A 26,704-nucleotide genomic window follows, 5' to 3' on the forward strand; every position below is an offset into this window, starting at 1 on the left:
AGCACTAGGATTATTGCTTAGCAACCAATGATAGCCAAGTACACTAGAAGAGCACTAACAGGCTGCAATGAAGATGGAGAATGCCTTAGTTCACATGTGAGTTTACTAATGAGCCATGACAGATGGGTAGATATTAAGTTGCCATATATCCTTAATGCAGGAGGAGGAATTGTCTGCCTTGGGTTATGGGAGACAGGTTAAAAGGAAAGAGTACAGTTGACTCTTGGACAACACAGTTTGAATTGCATGGGTCCACTTATACACAGATTTTCTTCCACCTCTGCCACTCCAAAACAGCAAGATCAACCCTTCCTCTTCCTCCTCTCCTCAGTCTATCGAACATGAGGACAATGAGAATGAAAACATTTATGATGATCTGCTTCTACTTAATGAATAGTAAATATATTTTATCTTCCTTATGATATCCTTCCTTTCTTCCTTTCCTTCCTTCCTTCCTTCCTCTCTTCCTTCCTTCCCTCCTTCCCTCTCTCTCTCCCTCCTTCCTTCCTCCTCCCCACCACCTCTCTCTTTCTTTCTTTTTTAAAAAAATACAGATACATGGTCTCACTCTGTGGCCTAAGCTGGAGTATAGTGGTGCAATCATAGCTCACTGCAGTCTCTCCCTCCTGGGCTCAAGGGATCCTCCTGCCTCAGCCTCCTGAGCAGCTGGGACTACAGGCATGTACACCACACCCACCTAAGTTTTTAATTTTTTTTTGCAGAGACTGGGTCTTGCTATGTTGCCCAGAGTGGTCTTGAGCTCCTGGCCTCAAGTGATCATCCTGCCTCAGCCTCCCGAAGCGCTGGGATTACAGATGTGAGCCACTGCACCTAGCCTCTTATGATTTTCTTCATAACATTTTCTTTCTCTAGCTTACTTTATTATAAGAATACAGTATATAATACACATAGCATACAAAATATGTGTTAATCAACTGCTTATGTTTTCAGTAAGGTTTCTGGTCAACAGTAGGCTACTAGCAGTCAAATTTTGGGGGAGTTGAAAGTTATACATAGGTTTTTGACTGTGCAGATATTGCTTCCTCTAACTCCTACATTGTTCAAGGGTCAACTGTACATTAGAACCTATAGACTTGAATGAATTCCTTTCTTTTTACACTTATTTAAAAATAAAAATAAAAGCATTATATATTTATGAGCATTGTGACAAAACAGAAGGGAAACACACCTTTCCCTCTTCCCCCACCCAAAGCAGTTAATAAGTTTGCAAATCCAACTTAGAGTTGAAGGGAAGCATTATACTACCCTCTTTACTTTTCCCATATTGGAATAAGAGAAGAGGCCAAGGAAGAAATCAAAACTTGGGAGAGAGATTGATAAATACTATCCACTGTTAGATTTAAGACATTCTGTAGATGAAATGTTGGCTTTTCAAGGGTTTCTTCACAGACCAATTTTTCTCCTGGACAGAAAGATGGATACTATCTAAATAAGATTTAAAAGTATTCTTCAGGATATTGTTTTTTTGTTTTTGTTTTGTTTTGTTTGGTTTGGTTTTGAGACGGAGTCTTTCTCTGTCTCCCAGGCTGGAGTGCAGTGGGGCGATCTCCGCTCACTGCAACCTCCACCTCCTGGGATCATGCCATTCTCCTGCCTCAGCCTCCCAAGTAGCTGGGACCACAGGTGCCCGCCACCACACCTGGCTAATTTTTTGTATTTTTTTTTTTATTTTTTTTTTTAGTAGAGACGGGGTTTCACCATGTTAGCCAGGATGGTCTCAATCTCCTGACCTTGTGATCTGCCCGCCTTGGCCTCCCAAAGTGCTGGGATTACAGGTGTGAGCCACCGCACCCAGCCAGGATATTGGTTTTTAAACTTTTCTAAGGCAGGAAAACCTTTTTTTTCAAATGAAAATTTCCTATGCTCTACAATTATGTAAAACAAATTGAAGCATAGCTGTTCCAGTCACAAACAGTACAAGGGGCTTAGAGTCCTATGGCCTTTGAAACTCCCTCTTGGGACCCTGAGAAGCATAGTTCAAAAACCACTGCTCTACAGTAGGAACTCTTATTCTTGCAGGTGGTGACATAAATTGGAACCAATCACTCTGGGAAATAATTTAATAATATCTCCTTAAGGTGAAATGCACATACTTATGACCCTGTGCCAGTCTGTTCCTGCTGCTATAACAAAATAGCATAGACTGGGTAATTTATAAACAGTGTAAATTTAGTGCTCACAGTTATGGAGGCTGGGAAGTCCAAGATCAAGGCACCAGCAAGTTTCATGTCTGGTAAGGGCCTTGTCTCTGCTTCCTAGATGGCACCTTGAACATTGTGTCCTCCAGAGGAGATGAACACTGTCCTCACATGGCAGAATAGATGGAAGGGCAAAAAAAAGGGAGGTTCCTAGCTAGTTCCCTCCAGCCCTTTTAGAAAGGTACTGTTAATCCATTCTTGAAGGCAAAGCCCTCATGACTTAATCACTTCCCTAAAGGTACCACCTTTTAATACTATCACATTGGGTCTTAGGTTCCAACATATGAATTTTGGAGGAACACATACATTCAAAACATACCACCTACAATTGAAATCCTAGTAATTATATACCAGAGAAACCCTCACATGTGGACACAAAGAGACATATGCAATACTTTTCATAATAGGATTGTCTTTATAGTAAAAAAAGAAAAACTGGAAATAACCCAGTCTATCTAAAAGAGAATGAATAAGCACATTACAATACAGTTATATCATAAGGTATTATGCAGCAGTGAAAATGAATGAACTAGACCTATACCTTTCAATATAGATGAATCTTCCAAATACTAAGTATAAAAAAGACTGTAGAATATATATAGTATGAAATTTTTTATGAAATTAAAAAACAAGAACAATGTTGTATTCCTTAGATAGAATAAAAATAAGTGCATGGAAATGATAAACATGAAATTCAGAATAGTCTATCTCTCAAAGTAGCAGTCTATGGGAGGCTTTAATATATAGGTAATTTTTTTCTTAAGCTAAGAGTAGATACATGCTACTTATTATATCATCATTATACTTGCAGGTCTTTAATATTTTGTAATAAGTAAGGTTAAAAAAACTGCTCTAGAGTTATAAAAATTCTTATCTCTTGCTATTATTATATGATATTATTTATTGAGAGTTATTAATGATTGAAGCACATCTTAATAACTACTTTCCAGTTAAGGTTAAAAATAGCGAGTTTACCTGGCCAGAACAATCAGGCAAGAGAAATAAATAAGGGGCACCCAAATAGGAAGAAAGGAAGTCAAACTATCCCTGTTTGCACACTACATGATCCTATATCTAGAAAATGCCATATTCAGCCCAAAAGCTCCTTAAGGTGATAACCTCAGCAAAGTCTCAGGATACAAAATCAACGTACAAAAATCATTAGCATTCCTATACACCAACAACAGTAAAGCCAAGAACCAAATCAGGAACACAGTCCCATTCACAATTGCCACAAAAAAAATAAAATAAAATACAGCTAACCAAGTGATATGATTTGACTGTGTCCCCACCCAAATATTGAATTGTAGCTCCCATAATTCCCATGTGTCATGGGAGGACCCAGTTGCAGGTAATTGAATCGTGGGGAGCAGGTCTTTTCCATGCTGTTCTCATGATAGTGAGTAAGTCTTACAAGATCTGATGGTCTTATAAAGGGGAGTTCCCCTGCACATGCTCTCTCTCTCTTACTTGCCACCATGTAAGACCTGACTTTGCTCCTTCTTTGCCTTCCACCGTCATTGTGAGGCCTCCCCAGCCACATGGAACTGTGAGTCCATTAAACTTTTTTCTTTATAAATTACCCAGTCTCAGGTATGTCTTTATTAGTAGCATGAGAACAGACTAATACAGTAAATTGGTGCCAGAACTGGCATGCTACTGTAAATATACCCAGAAATGTGGAAGCGACTTTGGAACTGGGTAACAAGAAGAGGTTGGAACAGTTTGTAGAGCTCAGAAGAAGTCAGAAAGTTGTGGGAAAGTTGGAACTTCCTAGAGACTTGTTGAACGGCTTTGGCCAAAGTGCTTATAGTGATATGGACAATAAAGTTCAGACTGATGTGGTCTCAGATGGAGATGAGGAACTTGTTGGGAACTGGAGCAAAGGTGACTTGCTATGTTTTAGCAGAGACTGGCAGCATTTTGCCCCTGCCCTAGAGATCTGTGGAACTTTGAACTTGAGAGATAATTTAGGGTATCTGGGGGAAGAAATTTCTAAGCAGTGAAGGGTTCAAGAGGAAGCAGAGCATAAAAGTTTGAAAATTTTGCAGCCTGACTACTATGCAATAGTACTATGTGTAGTACTATGCAATAAAAAAGAAAACCCCATTTTCTGGGGAGAAATTCAAGCCAGCTGCAGAAATTTGCATAAGTAACAAGGAGCCACATTTTAATCACCAAGACATGTGTAGAAAATGTCTCTGGGGCATGTCAGAGACCTTCATGGCAGCCTCTCCCATCACAGGTCCAGAGGCCTAGGAGGGAAAATGGTTTCATAGGTCGGGCCCAGGGACCCCCTTGCTGTGTGCAGCCTTGGGACTTGGTGCCCTGCATCCCATCCACTCCAGCTGTGGCTAAAAGGGACCAATGTACAGCTCAGGCCATTGCTTCAGCAGGTGCAAGCCCTAAACCTTGGCAGCTTCCACATGGTGCTGGGCCTGTGGGTGTGCAGAAATCAAGAACTGAGGTTTGGGAACCTCTGCCTAGATTTCAAGGATGTATGAAACTCCTGGATGTCCAGGGAGAAGTTTGCTGCAGGGATGGAGCCCTCATGGAGTACCTCTACTAGGGCAGTGTGGCAGGGAAATGTGGAGTTGGAGCCCCCACGCAGAGTCCCTGCTGGGGCACCACCTAGTGGAGCTATGAGAATATGGCCACCATCTTCCAAACCCCAGAATGATAGATTCACCGACAGCTTGCATCGTGCACCTGGAAAAGCCAGAGACGTTCAATGCTAGCCTGTGAAAGCAGCCAGAAGGGGAGCTGTACCCTGCAAAGCCACAGGGGCAGAGCTGCCCAAGGCTGTGGGAGCCCACCTCTTACATCAGTGTGACCTGGATGTGAGACACAGAGTCAAACGAGATCATTTCAGAGATTTAAGATTTTACTGCCCTGTTGTATTTTGGACTTGCATGGAGCCTGTAGCCCCTTTGTTTTGCCCAATTTCTCCCATTTGGAATGGATGTATACCCAATGCCTGTACCCCCATTGTATCTAGGAAGTAACTAACTTGCTTTTGATTTTACAGGCTCATAGGCAGAAGGGACTTGCCTTGTCTCAGATGAGACTTTGGACTGTGGACTTTTGAGTTAATGCTGAAATGAGTTAAGACTTTAGGGGACTGTTGGAAAGGGATGATTGGTTTTGGAATGAGGGAACATGAGATTTGGGAGGGGCCGGGGCAGAATGATATGGTTTGGCTGTGTCCCTACCCAAATCTTGAACTATAGCTCCCATAATTCCCACGTGTCATGGGAGGGACCTGGTGGGAGTTAATTGAATCATAGGGGTGGGTCTTTTCCATGCTGTTCTCATGATAGTGAATAAATCTCACAAGATCTGATGGTTTTATAAAGGGGAGTTCCCCTGCGCATGCTCTGTCTCTTGCCTGCTGCCATGTAAGACATGACTTTGCTCCTTCTTTGCTTTCCACCATGATTGTGAGGCCTCCCCAGCCACGTGGAACTGTGAGTCCCTTAATTTTTTTTTTCTTTATAAATTACCCAGTCTGGGATATGCCTTTATTAGCTGCATGAGAGCAGACTAATACACCAAGGAAGTGAAAGATCTCTACAAGGAGAACTACAAAACACTGCTCAAAGAAATCAGAGATGACACAAATGGAAAAACATTTCATGCTCATGTATTGGAAGAATCAATGTTGTTAAAATGGCCATACTTCCCAAAGAAATTTATAGATTCAATAAAATTCCTGTTAAACTACCAATGACATTCTTCACAGAACTAAAAAAAAAAAACTATTCTAAAATTTATGTGGAACCAAAAAACAGCTCGAGTAGCCAAGCAATCTTAAGCAAAAAGAACAAACCTGGAGGTATCATGCTACCTGAGTTCAAACTATATACAGGGCTACAGTAATCCAAGCAGTATGGTACTGGTACAAAAGCAGACAAATAGACCAATGGAACAGAATAGAGAACCCAGAAATAAGGCCACACACCTACAACTATCTGATCTTTGACAAAGCTGACAAAAACAAACAATGGGGACAGAGCTTCCTATTCAATAAATGGTGTTGGGATAACTGGCTAGCCATATGCAGAATATTGAAACAGTTTTTTAGGGAATAGCCAAATCTGGAATCTATTAAATTGTCTATCAACAGTAGAATAAATAAATTGTAATATAGTTATACAATAATATACTACGTAGCAATGAATAACAACTGTTAAAAGAAAAGCTTTAGACAAATTGAACAGAGTGTAATTGAACAAAGAACAATTCAGGAATCAGGCAGCTTCCAGAACCAGAAAAGGATCAGAGCAACTCCAGGGCTATCACAAGGTCACATGACATTTATGGACACAAAAAGGAAAGTGATGTACAGAAAACAGAAGTGAAGTGCAGAAACAGCTAGATTGGTTACAACTGGGCACTTGCCTTATTTGAAGCTGGTTTGAACAGCTGACTGTCTGTGGTTGACAGAAGTTTGGCTGCTGTGATTGGCTCACACTCAGCTACTTGTTACAACAGTAGGTTATGGTCTTTTTACACATCAAGTTTGGTTACAGTTCACTATGTATGGAGAAACCTTTAGGCCAAACTGAAAATTTGTATGGATGCAGCTTTAGACCAAACTTGATTTAACACAACTAATGCCACACAACATGACCCTAAGTGGTTATGTTGTTGAGTAACAACAGATATAAAAGAGCACATACTCTGTGATTCCGTTAATATGAGGTTCAAAAGCAAGCAAAATTAACCTGTAGTGTTAGAAGTCACGGGAGTGATTGAAAGAAGGAAAGCGGGGAGGGAGGGAGAGAGAGAAAGAAAGAGAGAGGTGGGCTGGGGAGAGAGAAAAAGAGAAATCCTGCAAATAAGGATAATTTGACTTCTTTCTTTCCATTTTGGATGCATTTTATTTCTTTATCTTATCTGATTACTCTAGCTAGGACTCCAGTACTATGTTGAATAACAATGGTAAAAATGGGCATCCTTATTTTGCTCCAGATTTTAGAGGAAAAGCTGTCATTTTTTTTCCATTCAGTGTGATACTAGCTGTGGGTCTGTCATATATGGCTTTTATTCTGTTGAGGTATATTCCTTCTATACCCAGTGTTTTGAGGGATTTTATTATGAAGAGCTGTTGAATTTCATCAAATGCTTTTTTGGCATCATTTGAAATGATCATATGGTTTTTGTCTTTCATTCTGTTGATATGATGTGTCACAGTGATTAACTTACATATATTGAACCATCTTTGCATCCCTTGCATCCCTGGCATGATGAGGGATTTTTTTTTAATTTTTATTTTATTTTAAGTTCCAGGATACATGTGCAGTACATGCAGGTTTGTTACATAGGTAAACATGTGCTATGGTTGTTTGCTGCACCTATCAAACCATCACCTAGGTATTAAGCCCCACATGTATTAGCTGTTTATCCTGATGCTCTTCCTCATCCTACACCCCTCCAACAGGCCCCAGTGTATGTTGTTCCCCTCCCTGTGTCCATGTGTTCTCACTATTCAGTTCCCACTTATAAGTGAGAACATGCGGTGTTTGGTTTTTTGCTCCTGTGTTAGTTTGTTGAGGATAATGACTTCCAGCTCCATCCATGTCCCTGCAAAGGACATGATCTCATTCCTTTTTATGGCTGCATAGTATTCCATAGTATATATGTACCACATTTTCTTTATCCATTCTATCATTGATGAGTATTTGGGTTGATTCCATGTCTTTGCTATTGAGAATAGAGCTGTAATGAACATATGTGTTAATGTATCTTTATAACAGAATGATTTATATTCCTTTGGGTATATACTATATACCCAGCAATGGGATTGCTGGGTCAAATGGTATTTCTGGTTCTAGATCTTTGAGGAATCACCACACTGTCTTCCACAATAGTTGAACTAATTTACATTCCCACCAACAGTGTAAAAGTGTTCCTATTTCTCCACAGCCTTGCCAGCATCTGTTGTGGCTTTACTTTTTAATAATTGCCAATGAATTATCTTTTTAATGTGTTGTTGAATTTGGTTTGCTAGTATTTTGTGGAGGATTTTGCTTCAATGTTCATAAGACTAAAGAAATATCTGACTACAGAAATATTGGCCTGTAATTTTATTTTATTAAGAAAAAAATATTGTAGCTGAATATTGTTATCTTTTTCTGGAAAATCTTCTGTTTTTATCCTTTTAAATAAACTTTCTACCCAAATCTCTCTCTCTACCTTCTCTTTAAGGTCAATAACTCTTAACTTGGTCCTTTTGAGTCTATTTTCTAGATACTGCAGTCATGCTTAGTTCTTTTTTATAGTTTTGTCTCCTCTGACTGTGTATTTTCAAATAGCCTGTCTTCAAGCTCACTAATTCTTCTGCTTGATCAATACTGCAACTGAGGGAACATCATACATTCTTCAGTACATTAATTGAATTTTTCAGCTCCAGAATTTCTGCTTGATTTTTAAAAGATATTTCAATCTGTTTGTTAAATTTATCTGATACAATTCTGAATTCCTTCTCTGTGCTATCTTGAATTTCATTGAGCTTCCTCAAAACAGCTATTTTGAATTCTCTGTCTGAAAGGTCAGATATCTCTGTGACTCTGGGATTGGTCACTGTGTTCTCTTACTTTGTTTGATAAGGTCATGATGTTTGTGGATGTTCATTGATGTCTGGGCATTGAAGAGTTAGGTACTTACTGTGGTCTTCACAGTCTGGGCTTGTTTGTACCCATCCTTCTTGGGAATGCTTTCTAAGTATTCAAAGGGAATTGAGTGTTGTGATCTAAGCCTTCAGTCACTGCAGCCATATCTGCATTAGAGGGCACCCCAAACCCACTAACACTGTGAATCTTGAAGCCTTGTAGAGGTACTGCCTTGGTTGTCTTGGGTAAGATCCAGGAGAATTCCCGGGATTACCAGGCAGAGACTCTTGTTCTCTTCCCTTACATCTCCCCAACCCCCTGCCAAAATGGAGTCTGTCTCTCTCTCTGTGCTGAGCTGCCTGGACTTATGGGAAGAGTGACACAAGCCCCGCTGTGGCCACCATCACTGGGACTGTGCCAGGTCCAACCTGAAGCCGGCACAGTACTGAGTCTCACCCAAGGCCTTTGGTAACTATTGTCTGGCTACTGCTGATGTTTATTCAAGGCCCAAGGGCTCTTTAGTCAGCAGCTAGTAAATTCAGCCTGTGTCTTTCCCTTCAGGGCAACGAGTTCCTTTCTGGCCCAGAGTGAGTCTAGAAATGCTGTCCAGGAACTAGAGCCTAGAGTTGATACATTTAGAAATCTACTTGGTGTTTCATTTTACTGTAGCTTAGCAGGCACCCAAGTTGCAAGACAATATGCTTTTTACTCTTCCCTCTTTTTTCTTCAAGCAGAAGGAGTCTTTTCCATGACCACCACAGCTGGGAATGTACTGGGTCATACCTGAAGCCTGCACGGCACTGGGTCTCACCCAAGGCAGTGAGTACTGCCTGGCTACCACTGATGTTTATTCAAGGCCCATGGGCACTTTAGTCATCAGGTGATGAATCCTACTGGGTCCTTTCCTTCAAGAGAGTAGATTCCCTTCTGGCCCAGGATGTGTCTAAAATTGTCATCTGGGAGGCAGGGCCTAGCATGGGGACTCCAGGACTCTGCTTGGTACTTTATTTTACTGTAGCAGAGCTGGTATCCAAGTTGCAAGACAAAGCCCTCTTTACTGTCCTTTCTCCTTTCCTTAATTGGAAGGAGTCTCTGCCGAAGCTACGAGCTGCACTGTCTGGAGTTGGGGGAGGGGTGACACAACCACTCCCTTGGCTGCCCTAGCTGGTGTCTCACTAGGTCATGTACACCCCAAGTCCACTGGCTTTGAGCCCAGTACAGCACCAAGACTTGCCCAGGAACTACAGTCCTTATAGCCTAGATTTCCTTTCAAGTTTATTTAGAACCCCAGAGCACTTTAGCCCTCAGTGGTGGGCTAGCTGGAACTCAGGTACTGACTGCTGGGATGGAAAATTCCCCTCTGGCCAGGGCTGGTCTAAATGCTCCCTCTGTGGGCACCAGCTGAATTCTACCCCATGTTGCTTTCCACTGTGACAGGGCAACACTGCGTGACAATGCAAAATCCCACAGTCACTGTGCTCTCCCTGCCCCAAGCATCATATTCTGTCTCTGTACTGTGAGGCCACTGCTGGGGGATGGAGGAGGGGTGGTATACGCATTTCAAGACTGTCTTTCCTATTCTCAGTGCCTCTTTCCTTGATATGATATTAAAACCAGGTATTGTGATCAGTCACCTGATTTTTGGTTCTTATGAAGGTGCTTTCTTGTGTGGATAGTGGTTCAATGTGGTGTTCCTGTGAGGGGGATGATCACTGGAGGGTTCTGTTAGGCCATCTTGCTCTGCCTCTCTCAAAATTTCATTTTTTGAAATATTTTATTTTAAGTTCTGGGATACATGTGCAGGATGTGCAGGTTTGTTACATAGGTAAACATGTGCCATGGTTGTTTGGTGCACCTATCAACCCGTCACCTAGGTATTAAGCCCCACATGCATTAGCTATTTATCCTGATGCTCTCCTTCCCCTACCCCCAAAATTTCATTTTTTCAATGGGTGAATGATATTTCATTGTACATCTATACCTCATTTTGTTTACCCATTCATCTGTGAATGGATGCTTGAGTTGTTTCCACTTTTACTGATTATGTATACTGCTGCCATGAACACTGATGTGCAAGTATCTGGGCCCCTGCTTTCAATTTTTTTGGATATATACATAGAAGTGGGATTTCTGGGTCATATGTAGTTCTAGGTTTACCTTAAAAAATTAAACTATATTACTATTATTGATTATTATTATTATTTTTTTAAGAGACAGGGTCTTGGTATGCTACCTAGGCTGGAATTGAACTCCTGGGCTTAAGCAATCCTCCCACCTCAGCCTGCCAAGTATCTGGGACTACAGGCACATGCCACTGTACCCAGCTCTACGTTTAATGTTTTGAGAAGCCACAAGAGTTTTCCACAATAGCTGCATCACTTTGCATTCCCACCAGCAAAGCATGAGAGTTCCAATTTCTGTACATTCTTACCAACACTCGTTATTTTCTGAGTTTCTGTTTGTTTTTGTTTTCTTATAACCATCTTAGTAAATGTGAAGTGGTATCTCATTGTAGTTATGATTTGCATTCCCTAATAACTCATAATGTTGAACATCTTTTCATGTACTTATTGACCATTTGTATATTTTCTTAGGAGAAATGTCTGTTCAAATCCTTTGCCCATTTTTGAATTAGGTTGTTTTATTGTTATTGAGTTTTAGAAGTTCTTTATATATTCTGAATATTAATTCCTTATCAGTTATATGCTTTACAAATATTTTCTCTCATTTACCACATCATCTTTTCACTTTTTGACATAATTCTTTGATGTACAAAAGTTTTTTAATTTTAAAGTATATTTTATCTTTTTTTGTTTGTTTTCTGTGCTCTTGGTGTTATATCCATGAAGTCATTGTTAAAGCCAGTGGCATGAAGATTTTCCACAGGTTTTCATTTTTCATCTAAGAGTTGTATGGTTTTGTTTGTTTGTTTTTAGAGACACAGTCTCACTCTGTTGCCCAGGGTAGAGTGCAGTGGCATGATCATGGCCCACTGCAACCTTGACCTCCTGGGCTGAAGTGATCCCCTCCTACCTCAGCTTCCCAAGTAGCTGGGACTATAGGTGTGCATCACCAAGCCTGGCTAATTTGTTTTTTTAATTTTTTGTAGAGACACAGTCTCACTATGTTGCCCAAGCTGGGAAAGTCATATCGTTTACTCTCTTCAGTTTAGATCTTTGATTTGTTTTCAGTTCATTTTTGTATATAAGGTAAAGGACCAACTTCATTCTTTTACACGATGTATCAGGTAGTCTCAGTACCACTTCTTGAAAAGATTATTCTTTCCCTATTGAATGGTCTTGACACCCTTGTCACAAATCAATTGACTATATATGAGAGTTTATTTCTGGTCTCTCTATCCTATTTTATTAGTCTATATGTCTGTCCTTACTCCAGTACTGTTTTATTTGTTGTAGCTTTGTAGTAAGTCTCAGAGTTGGGTAGTGTGAATCCTTCAAGTTTGTTCCTTTTGTTTTTTCAAGATTTATTTTGGCTATTCAAGGGCCTCTGCAGTTTCATATTAATCTGAGGATCACTTTTTCTATTTCTGTGAAAAAGACTATTGGAATTTTGATTGCATTGAATCTGTAGATCACTTTGGGTAGAATTGATATCTTAACAATGTAAAGTATTCCTATCTATGAATAGGGACATCTTTCTATTTATTTATGTTTTCTTTAATTTCTTTCAGCAATGTTTTATAGTTTTTAGCATATATCTTTCACTTCCTTGGTTAAATTTATTCCTAAGTATTCTATTCTTTTAGCTGCTTTTATAAATGGAATTGCTTTCCTTTTTCCCCCTGTTTTTATTTTTTTAGAGATAGGGTCTCACTCTGTTGCCCAGATTGGACTGCAGTGATGTAATCATAGCTCACTGCACCCTTGAACTCCTGGGCTCAAGCAATTCTCCCACCTCAGCTACCAACAGCTGGGACTACGGGTACGTGCCACCATGCCTGGCTTTTTTTTTTTTTTTTTTTAGACAGGGTCTCGGTATGTTGCCCTATTGAATTTGTTCAATAGCTCTAGTAGCTTTCTTATGGATTCTTTCTATATATAGGATCATGTCATCTGTGAAAGGAGACAGTTTTACCTGTTTCTTTCCAATTTGGATGCCTTTTGTTTGTTCTTCTTGTCTTATAGCTCTGGCTAGAACTCTGGTATGATGTTGAACAGCAGTGGTGAAAGTAGGCATTCTTTTCTTGTTACTCATTTTAGGGAGAAAGCTTTCAGTGTTCCATTACTGAGTGTCGTGTTAACTGTGAACTTTTTATTTTTATTTTTGTTTTGAGATAGGGTCACTTTCTGTCTCCCAGACCAGAGTGAGTGGCATGATTATGGCTCACTGAAGCCTCAAACTCCAGGGTTCAAGTGATCCTCCCACCTTAGCCCCCCAAGTAGCTGGGACTATAGGCATGTGCTACCACACCCAGCTAATTCTTAAATTTTTTGTAGAGACAGGATCTCACTATGTTACCCAGGCTGGTCTTGAACTCCTGGACTCAAGCAATTCTCCCACCTCAGCCTCCTAAAGTGCTGGGATTAGAGGCATGAGCCACCACACCTGGCCAACTGTGGATTTTTAAATAACTACCTTTATTATTTTTAGGAATGTTCTCTCCATATGCATTGATTATGTGGCTTTTTTCCCCTTCATTTTATGAATGTAATGGATTACATTGCTTGATTTTCTTATGTTGAGCCACCTTTGCATTCCTGAGATAAATCTGGAAAGATTTCATGTTGAAAAGGCTTTTACTATGGTCTTGGATTTGATTTGTTAATATTTTGTTGAGGATTTTTGCATCTATATTCATAAGGAATATTGGCCTATAATTTTACTGTGATATCTATCTAGCTTTAGTATCAGAGTAATTCTATCCTCATAGAAAGAATTAGGAAGTGTTCCCACCTCTTCAATTTTTTACAAGCATTTGGTAAGAGTTCATTTCAATTCTTCTTTAAATATTTGATAGAAGTCACTAGTGAAGCCATCTGATCCAAGACTTTTCTTTGTTGGGAAGTTTCTGATCACTGATTCAATCTCTTTACTTGTTAGAGGTCTGATATGGTTTGAATGTGTGTCCCTTCCAAATCTCATGTTGAAATGTGACCTGTGATGTTGGAAGTGGGCCTAGTGGGAGGTTTTTGGGTTATGGGGTGGATCCCTCATGAATGGTTTGGTGCTGTTCTTGCAGTAATGAGTGAGTTCTCACTCTATGAGTTCATGTGAGATCTGGTTGTTTAAAAGAGCCTGGTACCCCTTCCCTCTCTCTCTCTTGCTCCCTCTCTCACCATGTGATATGCCAGCCCCGCCCCCACCTTCCACCATGATTATAAGCTTCTTGAGGCCTCACTGGGAACAGATGCTGGCACTGTTTCACACACAGCCTGCAGAACCATGAGCCAAATAAACCTCTTTTCTTTGTAAATTACTCAGTCTCAGGTATTCCTTTTTTTTTCAGGTATTTCTTTATAGCGACACAAAATAAACTAACTAACACAAGATCTGTTGAGACTTTCTACTTCTTCTTGAGTCAGTTTAGGTAATTTCAAGGAATTGGTTCATTTCTTCTAGGTTATCCAATATGTTAGCATAAAATTGCTCATAGTATTCTCTTATAATCGTTTTTGTTTTCCAAGACAGAGTCTTGCTCTGTTGCCCAGAGCTGGAGTGCAATGGTGTGATCTCGGCTCACTGTAACCTCCACCTTCTGGGTTCAAGCAATTCTCCTGCCTCAGCCTCCCAAGTAGCTGGGTTTACAGGTGCATGCCACCACACCTGGCTAATTTTTGTAATTTTAGTAGAGACGGGTTTTCACCATGTTGGCCAAGCTGGTCTCGAACTCCTGACCTCATGATCTGCCTGCCTTGGCCTCCCAAAGTGCTGGGATTACAGGTGTGAGCCACCGCGCCCAGCTTATAATTGTTTTTTGTTTTTGTTTTTTAATCTCTGTAAGGTTGGTGATAATGTCCCCACTTTCATTTCTGATTTTGGTTATTTATGTATCTTTGCTAATGTTTTTTTCAGTCTAGCTCAAGGTTTATTCATTCTGTTGATTTTTTCAAAGAACCAATTTTTGGTTAAATTGTTTTTCTCTACTATTTTTCTATTCTCTCTTTTGTTTATCTCTACTTTAACCTTTATTATTTTCTTTCTTTTGCTAGTTTTGTGTTTAGTTTGCACTACTTTTTCGAGTTTCTTAAGGTGTATAGGTTACTTATTTGACTTTTTTTTTTTCTTTTTTGAGACAGAGTCTCACTCTGTCGTCCAGGCTAGAGTGCAGTGGCCTGATCTCGGCTCACTGCAAGCTCTGCCTTCCGGGTTCACACCATTCTCCTGCCTCAGCCTGCCGAGTAGTTCGGACTACAGGCGCCTGCCACCACATCCGGCTAATTTTTTTTTTTTAATTTACAGAGATGGGGTTTCATCGTGTTATCCAGTATGGTCTCGGTCTCCTGACCTTGGATTTGACTTTTTTAAATGTAATCACTTACAGCTATGTTTCCATCTGAGCCCTTTTTTCACTGCATCCTATAAATTTTGATATGTTGTGTATTTATTTTCATTTGTCTCTTATTATTTTCTAATATCCCTTGTGATTTTTTTGACCCATTAGTCATGTAAGAATGAGTTGTTTATTTTCTGTAGCTTTGTGCGTTTTCTAGTTTTCCTTTATTGATTTCTAACTTCATCAAGCTTTGTGCTCTTCATTAAAGAGCAGATATTTTATATGGTATCTATTTTTTTAAATCCATTGAGACTAGTTTTGTGGCCTAACATATGGTCTATCCTGGAGAATGTGCCATGTGCACTTGAGAAAAATATGTATTCTGCTGTTATATTGGGTAGACTATTGTATATATGACTGTTAGGACTAATTTTAATTTTCATATATGGTGTAAGGTAGGCATCCAGATTCATCCCTTTGCATGTAGATATCAGTTGTCATGGCACCGTTTGTTGAAGAGACTGTTTTTTCCATGAAATTGTTTTGGTACCGTTGTCAAAAATCAATTGGTTTCAGAGTACAAGAGGAACTTTAAAAAATGTAATCAATTGGTCATAGATGTATGGGTTTATTTCTGGACTCTCAATTTTATTCCATTGATCTATGTGTCTATCCTTATGCCAGTACTACTTCAGTAAAGTTTTATAGCTTTCTTCATATTAGTCTGACACATTTCTGTTTAGTTTATTTCTAGATATTTTAAATTTTTGTTGCTATAATGACATGAAGCTTTATAAAATTATATTTTCATTGATAACTAAAAATATAAAACATTTTAAATTGGTTATTAATTGGTAGTTCCAAGGAAATAAATTTACTTTTGTATTTTAATCTCGTATCCTGTGTTTATTTGGTAGGCTTTTAAAAAAATCGTGGTAAATACATATATCATAATATTTACCATTTAAACTGTGTTAAAGTGTACAATTCAGAGCCATTAAGTAAATTCACAGTGTTATGCAACCATTACCACTGTCTAGTTCCAGAAAGTTTTTATCATTACAAATGGAAACTCCATTTAGTAAGCCTTTCAAAGCTGAAGATTTGTGTCTTTCTTCAGTTCTGAGAGATTTCTTACATTATTTATTTGAATATTTCATTATGTCTAACACTTGGCTTACACCTTCTGACACTTTTATAAGATTAATATTAAATGTTCTGGATTGGCTGGGCATGGTGGTTCATGCCTGTAATCCTAGCACTTTGGGAGGCCAAGGTGGGTGAATCACTTGAAGCCAGGAGTTCAAGACCAGCCTAAGCAACATAGTAAGACTTTGTCTTTATCAAAAAAGAAAAAAATACAAAAATTCGCTGGGCATGGTGGCATGCACCTGTAGTCCCAGCTACTTGGGAGGCTGAGTATATGCTGTCATATACTCATATACGTATACATATGGGTATATGGTGTCAACATGATGTGTTACTGTTGATGTTAATAATGATTGTTAGGCTGTGATAGTATTTGTCAGGTTTCTCTACTGTAAAGTTATTTTCCCTCTCCCATTTCCATATTGTACTCTTTGAGAGGAAGTCACTATATGCAGTCCGCACTTAAAGAGAGGGGAGTCATGCTCAACATCCTTGAGTGTGGAGTATCTACATAAATTATTTGGACTATTTCTGCACAGGAAATTTGTCTTTTTACTTATTTACTATAGTTTTTTTTTTCAGCACTTCCTTACTTTCTGGCACTACAAGATATTCCAGGCACTACAAGATATTCTTGTATATATTTCCTATATACAACATGAGCCCAATCCTATAATCAGCTGTATCTCCAAGGAGTTCTGATTTTTTTAATTGGAGAGTGATATTAGAAACCAAGATGTGAGCACTAGATGGTCTACGTTCTCTTAAGTGTTCTTTTTAATAACTTTTAATTTCTTCTAATTTCTCTGCTCTGAGGATATTCTTTTAAAGACTCCTTACATTTGTTCTATTTAATGGTATTTCCTTGGGTGGCATTAGTTATTCTGTTTGTTGAATTTAGTCATGGGGATGATTTTTCTTAAACATTCTGTGAATGTGTGCTTACATTTGAATTTGAGATTCTCTATTTGCTTTCCTATAGAGTTACTGTTTTCTATAGTCTGATGCCAGTGGGGGAAGGACAAGATGTGCAGACAGTGAAGCTGTCAATAGGTCATTTTCTCTGCGTGTGGAAATCTTGCTTCTCTAGCCTAAACATCTATATACCTTAACTCAGTGCAGGGGAAAACCCTTCTGGTGCCTGATGATTAGCTCAAATGGGAATTAAGATACACAAAAAGGTCAGTCTTTCTCCTATGACCCATATCTACATCCTCTAAACTTGGGGTGCCTCAAATCTGCTCCCAAATTTTATAGTGGTCTCCACCGTATCTTTTTAGTCCTATAGTTTCTTCAATCAGTTGAATTCCCCTGCTTTACATTTTTCAGAGATCTTCAAAATTCCTGACTCCTGAAGGCCCCCTTCATGATTGTAGTATTCTTGCGCATTTTTTAAATTTTAAAAACATACACACAACTTTTCCTGTCATTGCTAGAGATTTTGGTAGGGGAGGGGATATAGGTGCCTGTTCTCAGTCTACCATCTTGGTCTAATATCTCCGTCCTGCATTTAAAAAATGAAGACATAAAGGAAGCTGGGAATAAAATGAAGAGAAATGTATTTAAATATACATGTGTGGTAGACTCTTTGCTTACTCACCACACATTTCCTCACCTTTTTTTTTTTTTTTTTTGAGACAAAGTCTCACTGGAGTGCAGTGGCATGATCGTGGCTCACTGCAGCCTCGACCTCCAGGGCTTAAGTGATCCTCCCACCTCAGCCTCCTGAGTAGTTGGGACCACAGGTGTACGCCACCATGCCTGGCTAATTTTTTTATTGTTTGTAGAAACAGCATCTTCCTAATGTTGCGTAGGCTGGTCTTGAACTCCAGGGCTCAAGCAGTCCTCCCGCCTTGGCCTCCCAAAATGTTGGGATTACAAATGTGAGCCACTGCGCCCAGCCTTCCCTACCTTTTTGCCTGCCAACTGAACCTCAGTGTTGTAGCAGATGAAAATCACTTGTTATCAGAGAATTTGAACCAAACCCTGGCACCAAGAAATAAGTTATAATTTGTCTATACTATTCATAGTAATCCCATTTCCCTTTACCAGCGATTGGTCTGGGCGTGGGCATGTATCCTAGTTAGGGCAGATGAAATGTAAAGGGAAGTCTTAGAGTGGGGAGTCTGGGATCTTCTCCTCTTGGATAATAAAACAGAGCCTCAAGAGGAGAAAAACCCTTTGTCCTCTATGCTTTTTTGCTGTGAGGAAGTGATGGCTGGAGCTCTAATAGTCGTCATGTGATCATGAGGTACAAGCAAAAAAATGAACGAAAATAAACAGAAACAGCCTACGTATTTAATGAAATCACTGAACTGCTAAATGGCTTCTGATTAAGTCAACAATAAATGTCTTTATGGTTAAAGTCACTTTGTCTGATTTTCTGTTATTTTCAGCTGACATTCTTCCAATCCACTGTGTAAATGGATATAAAAATTTTTTCAAATATTATTCTAAAGTCACATAGATTAAAATTTACTTCTAACATTTCTTACATTTCACTTTTTTTTCCCCTCAGAATTAAACCTGGAGGGGCAGCGAAAAATTTCACCTGGTTCAATAAAGGACTCTAAAACTGAAGCCTCAGGTAATATTGCAATTAGAAAATCTGCAAAAGTGATTTTTGCTTTAGATGAAACTGAACTGAAATCAAAGCCAGAGCACACATGGAAGAAAAACCTTTTTGAAAGAATGGAGGCAAGAGCCCAAGCAATGCAGCAGAAAATAATAGATAAGGAAAATCTGAAGAAGGAACTAGAAAAAAAGGCTGAAAAAAAACTCCCTAGGGATAATTTGGCCAAAGAGTGGTTTAATACTGACAGCATGACACTGAATAATACTGCATATTTGCTTGACAAACTTCTACCCACCTTAGTTCCTGGAGTAGAAAACATGTTAACTCAAGTAGAAAAGAAGAAGGTTTTGACAGAAGCTGATACTCCAAGCAAGTTTGACCCAATTAATTATTTGGGGGAATATTTAATAAGAAACAATCCTAATTATATCAAAGACCCAGGAATGTCTGGTTACCAGAGGTTGATGAAAGAAGTCACAGAAGACCTGAAGATATATGTTCCTGACACTATCTGCAACAGGTACAATCTGTTATAGTTTCAGTTCATGATCTGTCTCCTTACATTGAAAAACTAGTAGAAAAAATAACATAATCATGGACAGGACTTAAAACAAGTGATTCTACAGTTATTCAGAAAGTATTTATTGAGCTACTAGTATGTGCTTCACTCTTTTTGAGGCACTGTGAAGACTAACAAAATAAATAAGTTCCTTGTATTCATAGATTTAATTATCTCACTATGACTGCAAGTGTATAATGATTTGTATTTTTATTTATCTGCCTGCACTGGAAAGTAAGCTATATGAAAGTTGGAACTTTTTAAAAATTTAATTTTCCATATAGGCAATCTGGTTTAAAGGTCAATATGTAAAAAAAGTTATATAGTGAAAAGTTTCCCTCCCATTCTTATCTTCCATCTACCCAATATTCCACCTCCACCATAAATAACTACTATTCTTAATTTTCTATAGATCCTTATAGAATTTCTTTATACATACATAAGGAAATGCAAACATGGATTATTAATTTTTTCTTTTACACAAAAGCATGTGATACATGTTACAAATACCCATTTTTACCTGCCATTTATCTTTTTTCATGTAGAAGATTTTTTATTTCTATATAGTCAAATTTAACTTTTCTTTTATGGCATCAGGATTTTGAGGCACTGTTACATTTCAAAATATTAAAAGAATTCTTCCATGTTCTCTTCCAGAATTATTATTTTAATTTTCATTTTAAATACTGACTCATTTGGAATTTAACCTACTGTAACATGTAAGGATTCAACTTTATCCTTTTTCAAATGTCTACTTAGTGGTCCCAATAAGAGTTGAGTAGTCTATCTTTGCCCCACTGGTTTGGGATTGAGCCTTTATTAATAAATTCATATATATTTTGGGGTGTATTTCTGCATTTTTCCATCCTATTCCATTGGTCAGTCTCCCTTTCATGCATTCGTACCACACTGCTTTAACAATTGAGACTTTTAAATATATTCCATAGATCTGACAGTGCTGGTCCCCACTATTTGCTCTTCTTCTTTTCTGATGTTTCCTGGCTATTTTTGTTTGTTTACTTTTTTTATATGAATTATGGGAGTAACTTGTCTACTTGAAAAAAAATGGGGAGGGAAAACGAAAAGACAAACCTTACAGGAATTTTTATTGAAATCTGATTACATCTATTAATACTCTTAGAAAACCAACATCTTCAAGGCTGCAATTAGCCAAAATTACACCACTGCACTCCAGCCTGGGTACCAGAGCGAGATCCAGTCTCAAAAACAGACACACACACACACACACACACACACACACATACACACACACACACACACACACACCAGAAAACCAACATCTGTAATAATGATGAGTGTTTCGGGGTGTCTTTCCATTTGCTCATCTTATTTTGTGTGAATTATTGTTGCCCTAAAGTTTTTTGCAGCTGGGCATGGTAGCTCACGCCTGTAATCCCAGCACTTTGGGAGGCCAAGACAGGCTGATCACCTGAGGTCAGGAGTTCAAGACCAGCCTGGCCAACATGGCAAAACCCTGTCTCTACTAAAAATGCAAAAATTAGCCCAGCGTGGTGATGCATGCCTGTAATCCCCGCTACTTGGGACGCTGAGGTGGGAGAATCACTTGAACCTGGGAGGCGGAGGCTGCAGTGAGCCGAGATGCACCACTACACTCCAGCCTGGGCAACAGAGTGAGACCCCATCTCAAAAAAAAAAAAAGATTTTAATGTAGGTTTTGTATCTCTTTTATTAGATTCATTACTAGTTATTTTTATCATTCTTTGTTGCTATTTTAAGCAGGGCTTTCTTCTGTTACTATATTTTCTATCTGGATGTAGTCTGAAGACATGAAAGCTACTAATTTCTATATATTTTTGTACCCTGCTACCTTACTGAGTTCTCTTACAGTAACATTTTAGTTGGTTTCTTGGGTTTTCTAGGGAGGTAACCATTGTCTGCAAATAATAGTAGTTTCCCTTCTTCCTTTTCAATTTTTATACTAATATCCTACTACCTCCAATACAATATTAAATAATAATGGTGATATGGGCATCCTTGTCTTTTTACAACTTTAGTAGAAATGCTGCTTCTGTTACTGCTTCATTATGGGCAGTTTTTATATTACTAGTTCTGTTCCATTTGGATATGAAAAACATTTTATCTCAATGGGAAAATGTACCTAATTTCTACCTTTCAGAGTGATTTTTAAAAATTAAGACTTGATTTTATCAAATGCTTTTTCAACACCTATGAAAGTGATAATATGATTTTCACCTTAGATTCCTTAATGATGAATTTTACTAATAGATTTCCTACTATTCAATTACCTTAGAATTCCTGAAATAAATCCTGCTTGGTTGCTATGTATTTGGGTACACTGAAATATGCTTTCTACTTGTAAGACAGAATATTTCTTTCCTTTTAATTACAGATTTTTCAGAATACGGTATATATCTATCTACCTATCAATAGTCACCACTAGTGGCAGCAAATGAAAAATGTTTTCCCCTTTTGGGAAAGGGTTCCTTTTTCAGTATCATCATGGATGCATGGATTTTAATATATATTCAATATATTTTAATCAGTTATAGTCTTTTTTTCTGTTAGATGCTCAAATTGCACCAACTTTGGCTTCTGTTTTCTGACATTACCCCTTTAGTCTTTGAAAACGTCATGCATTTTTTTTTTTAAATGGAGTCTCGCTCTGTCGCCCAGGCTGGAGTGCAGTGGCGTGATCTCGGCTCACTGCAAGCTCTGCCTCCCGGGTTCACGCCATTCTCCTACCTCAGCCTCCCGAGTAGCTGGGACTACAGGCACCCGCCACCACGCCCGGCTAATTTTTTTTTTTTTTTTTTGTATTTTTAGTAGACATGGGGTTTCACCGCCTTAGCCAGGGTGGTCTCGATCTCCTGACCTCGTGATCCGCCCGCCTCGGCTTCCCAAAGTGCTGGTATTACAGGCGTGAGTCACCGCGCCCGGCCCAGGCATTTTTTAAATGGATTCCTGGCTCCTTTTAAAATGGGGATCACTCACTTGTGAGCTAGGAGTGCTCATAAATATTGTGTAGTCATTGTTTCTAGGCCCTTCAGGACTAAAACATATAATTTTTAGAGTCAATGACCCGTGACCAGACATCACCTGCAGCCTCTTCAGGCGTGCCACCGCTGCCGGGCCTGCTGTACGACCCGCGGGCTCTGGGCCATGCCTGCTCTTGCGCCCGGCTCAGGAGGACCCTTCTTGATCCAGGAGTGGACCCTGGTCTCATTGGAGCCAGTTGGGGTCTTGTGGCGGCCTGTTAGGGATGTGATCCAGCGCTTTGGAGGCAGGGCTTCAAGCTGGTAGGGATGAAGATCCTGTGGCCGGCCAGAAAGCGTCCTTGCTGAACACTACCAGGACCTGCGAAGGAAGCCCCTCTACCCAGCCCTCCTTAGCTATGTGAGCTCCAGGCCTGTTGATGGCCATGGTCTGGGAAGGGTACAATGTGATCCATGCCTCGAGGGCCATGATAGATACCCTGACAGGGTTGAGGCTGACTCTGTGACCATATGGGGAGACTTCAGCGACGTCCACATCAGCAGGAACATCATTCACACCAGCTATTCAGGGTAGGGGGTCAGAAAGAGATCCAGCTGTGGTTTGAAAGCAGTGAGCTGGTGAACTAGCTCCCCTAGACAGGGGCCACTGCAGGAGCGTCTTCCCAGCCAGAGGGCTCAGGCTCCCCTTGGCCACCCCAGCCTTGGTCCACCAGGACCAACTACTTCTGTCACAGGAACCCAAGCCCACACTCCTACAAGTCTCTCCCAAACCACTTCCCTGTGTACATTCTGCCCTACCCCACCCTGGAGGACTTTGAGCCACAAACTTTATGTGCCTTTCTGTATCTTAGCCAGCACAAGATTGGGCCAAATCCTTTCTGCACCAAACTGCCAGACAACCTTTGGGGTGTCTTCAAAAGTGGGTAAGGCAACCTCTCCTCCCGCAAAAGGGAGACATTAAAATTCGCTGTGCTGAGAAAAGAAATATGTAATTTAAAAAATGAGTTAATATTGACAGTTGCATATTAATGTTTCAGGTCTTTATCTAATTTCTTTGACATTTATATTTCCTTTTTCCTTTTTTTTTTTTTTTTTGAGACAGAGACTTGCTCTGTCACCCAGGCCGGAGTGCAGTGGCGGGATCTTGGCTCACTGCAACCTCTGCCTCTGGGTTCAAGAAATTCTCTGCCTCAGCCTCCTGAGTAGCTGGGATTACAGGCACCCGCCACTACACCCTGCTAATTTTTGTATTTTTCGTAGAGACAGGGTTTCACCATATTGGCCAGGCTGATCTTGAACCCCTGACCTCGTGATCCACCCGCCTCGGCCTCCCAAAGTGCTGGGATTACAGGCGTGAGCCACCGCGCCTGGCCTGTATTTCCTTTTATCTTACATAGAAAATCTTGGTTCCTAATGACATTGACATAATTACTGATTTGTTTTATCCTACAGTTTACATAAAAGCTTCAAAATGGCCCAGCGCGGTGGCTCAAGCCTGTAATCCCAGGACTTTGGGAGGTCAAGATGGGTGAATCACCTGAGGTCAGGAGTTCGAGACCTCCCTGGCCAACATGGTGAAACCCTGTCTTACTAAAAATACAAAAATTAACTGAGTGTGGTGGTGTGTGCCTGTAATCCCAGCTGCTCGGGAGGCTGAGGCAGGAGAATTGCTTGAACCTGGAAGGCAGAGGTTGCAGTGAGCTGAGATTGTGCCACCTGCACTCCAGCCTGTGTGACAGAGTGAAACTCTATCTAAAAAAAAAAAAAAAGCTTCAAAATAATAATACCAACAAGCTTACTAATAATAAAAATATTAAACAAGGCTTTACATTTATTTGCAGCTTTTTTGTCCTTAGAATATATCCTTGCCAGGTGCAGTGACTCACACCTGTAATTCCAGCACTTTGGGAGGGATCTCTTGAGCCCAGGAGTTCGAGACCAGCCTGGGCAACATAGCAAGACCCCGTCTCTACAAATAATAATAAAAAAATTATCTTGGCTTGGTGGCACATGCCTACTACTGCCAGTTACTCCAGAGGCTGAGGTGGGAGGATCACTTGAGCCTGGGAGATCAAGACTGCAGTGAGCTGGGTCATGCCACTGCACTCTATCTTGGGTGACAGAGCAAGACCCTGTCTCAAAAAAAAAAAAAGAATATGTCTCACTAGGTATATATATGTAAAAAATAGAGCCATGCAAAAAACTAGAAAAAAACAGGGATTAAATCCCTTTATGCTGGAGATAATCCTTTTTAACCATGACTCAAGATCATGAAAATTTTGGAAAATTTCATTACATAAAAAATGAAAGCGTTTTGCCAGGTAAATTGAGTCACAACTTCTCAGTTCTGCTGCTGTAGTGCAAAAGCAGTCATAGCATATATGTAAATGAGAGAGCATGGCTGTGTTCCAATGAAACTTTATTAGTGGATACTGAAATTTGAATTTCATATAATCTTCACATGGCACAAAATATTATTCATCTTTTGATTTTAAAAAATGATTTAGGCTGAACACAATGGCTCACACCTGTAATCCCAGCACTTTGAGAAGGTGAGGGCAGGAGGATTACTTGAGGCCACGAGTTCAAGACCAGCTTGGGCAACACAATGAGACCCTATCTCTAAAATAAATAAATAAATAAATAAATAAAATAATAAAATTTTAAAATACAAAACTAAAAATATAACAACCCCTCAGCTTTTGAGCCATACAAAACCAGTCAGTGGGCCAGATTTAGCCCCCAGGTTGTAATTTGCTGACCTTTTGTCTAAATGGTATCTATTAGGTCTCTTCCAGGTCTAAAACAAAAGTGATACACTTTTCCTTTTAATATCTTCTGACATACAGACCTACACTAATTTTTTTTTTTTTTGAGACGAAATCTCACTCTGGTTCCCCAGTCAGGAGTGCAATGGCACAATCTCAGCTCACTGCAACCTCCGCCTCCCGGCAGCGATTCTCCTGCCTCAGCCTCCCGAGTAGCTGGGATTACAGGTGCGTACCACCATGCCCAGCTAATTTTTTGTATTTTAAGTAGAGATGGGGTTTCACCATGTTGGCCAGGCTGGTCTCGAACTCCTGACCTCAGGTGATCTACCCACCTCGGCCTCCCAAAGTGCTGGAATTACAGGCGTGAGCCACCACACCTGGCCCACCTACACTCAAATTTATAATTTCTTTTGACTTGTTTTAGTGTCTTTCCTATAGGGTAAACAACTAATTAGAAGCTTTAGAATAGTAATTCTTTTGGAATTAGGCACAGATATCCCTCTGGGATAAAGTAAGAGATATGTGCAGAACTCTTGTTTTATGTGTGGTTATGAAATTTTTATTTTCAGTTGAAACAGGCTTTCTAAGATCATGGTTGTCTATCAGTGACACCAGAATCACCTGGGGTGCTTGGTTAAAAGTGCAGATTCCTAGATCCTTCCTCAGATCTTCTGAATCAGAACCTCTAGGAATGCATTTAAAACAAGTTCCATAAGAGGTTATTATTGCACACTAAAGTTTCAAGACCAAATTAAAAAGAAAACAAATTAAGAGAGGTTTAGTACTAGTGAAAACTTCCAGTAGTATGCAGGAAGCAGTTTCATTAAATTTAATAAATACCTTAAGGAACATTTCTGCTCACCATCTGTTCTTGCAGTGCAATAAATTAGACTGTATTTAGATCTATTTCCACTAAAAATACTTACAATCTGTGAACTGATTTTGTCTGTAAACAAATATATTGACAAACACTTCCTCTTGTTACAGATATGTAAATCTCAATGGGTATGTAAAACTCTAGACATTTATTAATGTCTATAATAAGATAGTAATAAGCACACTAGGACATTGGGTTCCATGACACAGGAGAATTAGGTTGTTTCACTGATATTTCTTGAACTGGGAGTTTGACTTCTTAGGGTCATTTGAGGCTTGGTAAAAGTTTTAGTTAAAGGTTGCTCTATTGGAGCAGGAATTTCATGAAATAATCAAAGTTGCTTTGTTTACCTGGATTGTTAGAATTGGGGCTTCATCTTTTTCTGGCAGAAATCCAAGATCTGTATGTCAACAGATGACAGTGTCAGGCATTTGTAGAATATTCAGAAATCCTAAGGATGTTTTACAACAGTGTGTTCTGCTCCTAATCC

The 26,704-nt window shown here is 39.5% G+C and overlaps 1 protein-coding gene across 14 annotated transcripts in view; it reads left to right on the forward strand.

Annotated features, from left to right (window-relative positions):
• The window catches only part of EFCAB5 (EF-hand calcium binding domain 5), a 178,550-nt gene that overhangs the window by 19,934 nt on the left and 131,912 nt on the right, over positions 1-26,704 (forward strand). For 13 of the 14 annotated variants that reach the window (NR_026738.2, XM_024450742.1, XM_024450743.1 and 10 more), the window contains exon 4: positions 18,955-19,531. The exons of the other annotated variant lie outside the window; for it this stretch is intronic. Coding sequence is in view for 12 of the 13 variants with exons in the window: in XM_024450742.1 (XP_024306510.1) it covers positions 18,955-19,531 (577 nt within the window). In the remaining variant the exon portion in view is untranslated. The remainder of the gene's footprint in view (positions 1-18,954; positions 19,532-26,704) is intronic. 14 annotated transcript variants of the gene reach the window in all.

The sequence above is a fragment of the Homo sapiens genome, chromosome 17 (genome assembly GCF_000001405.40).
Source record: "Homo sapiens chromosome 17, GRCh38.p14 Primary Assembly".
Lineage (NCBI taxonomy): Eukaryota > Metazoa > Chordata > Mammalia > Primates > Hominidae > Homo > Homo sapiens.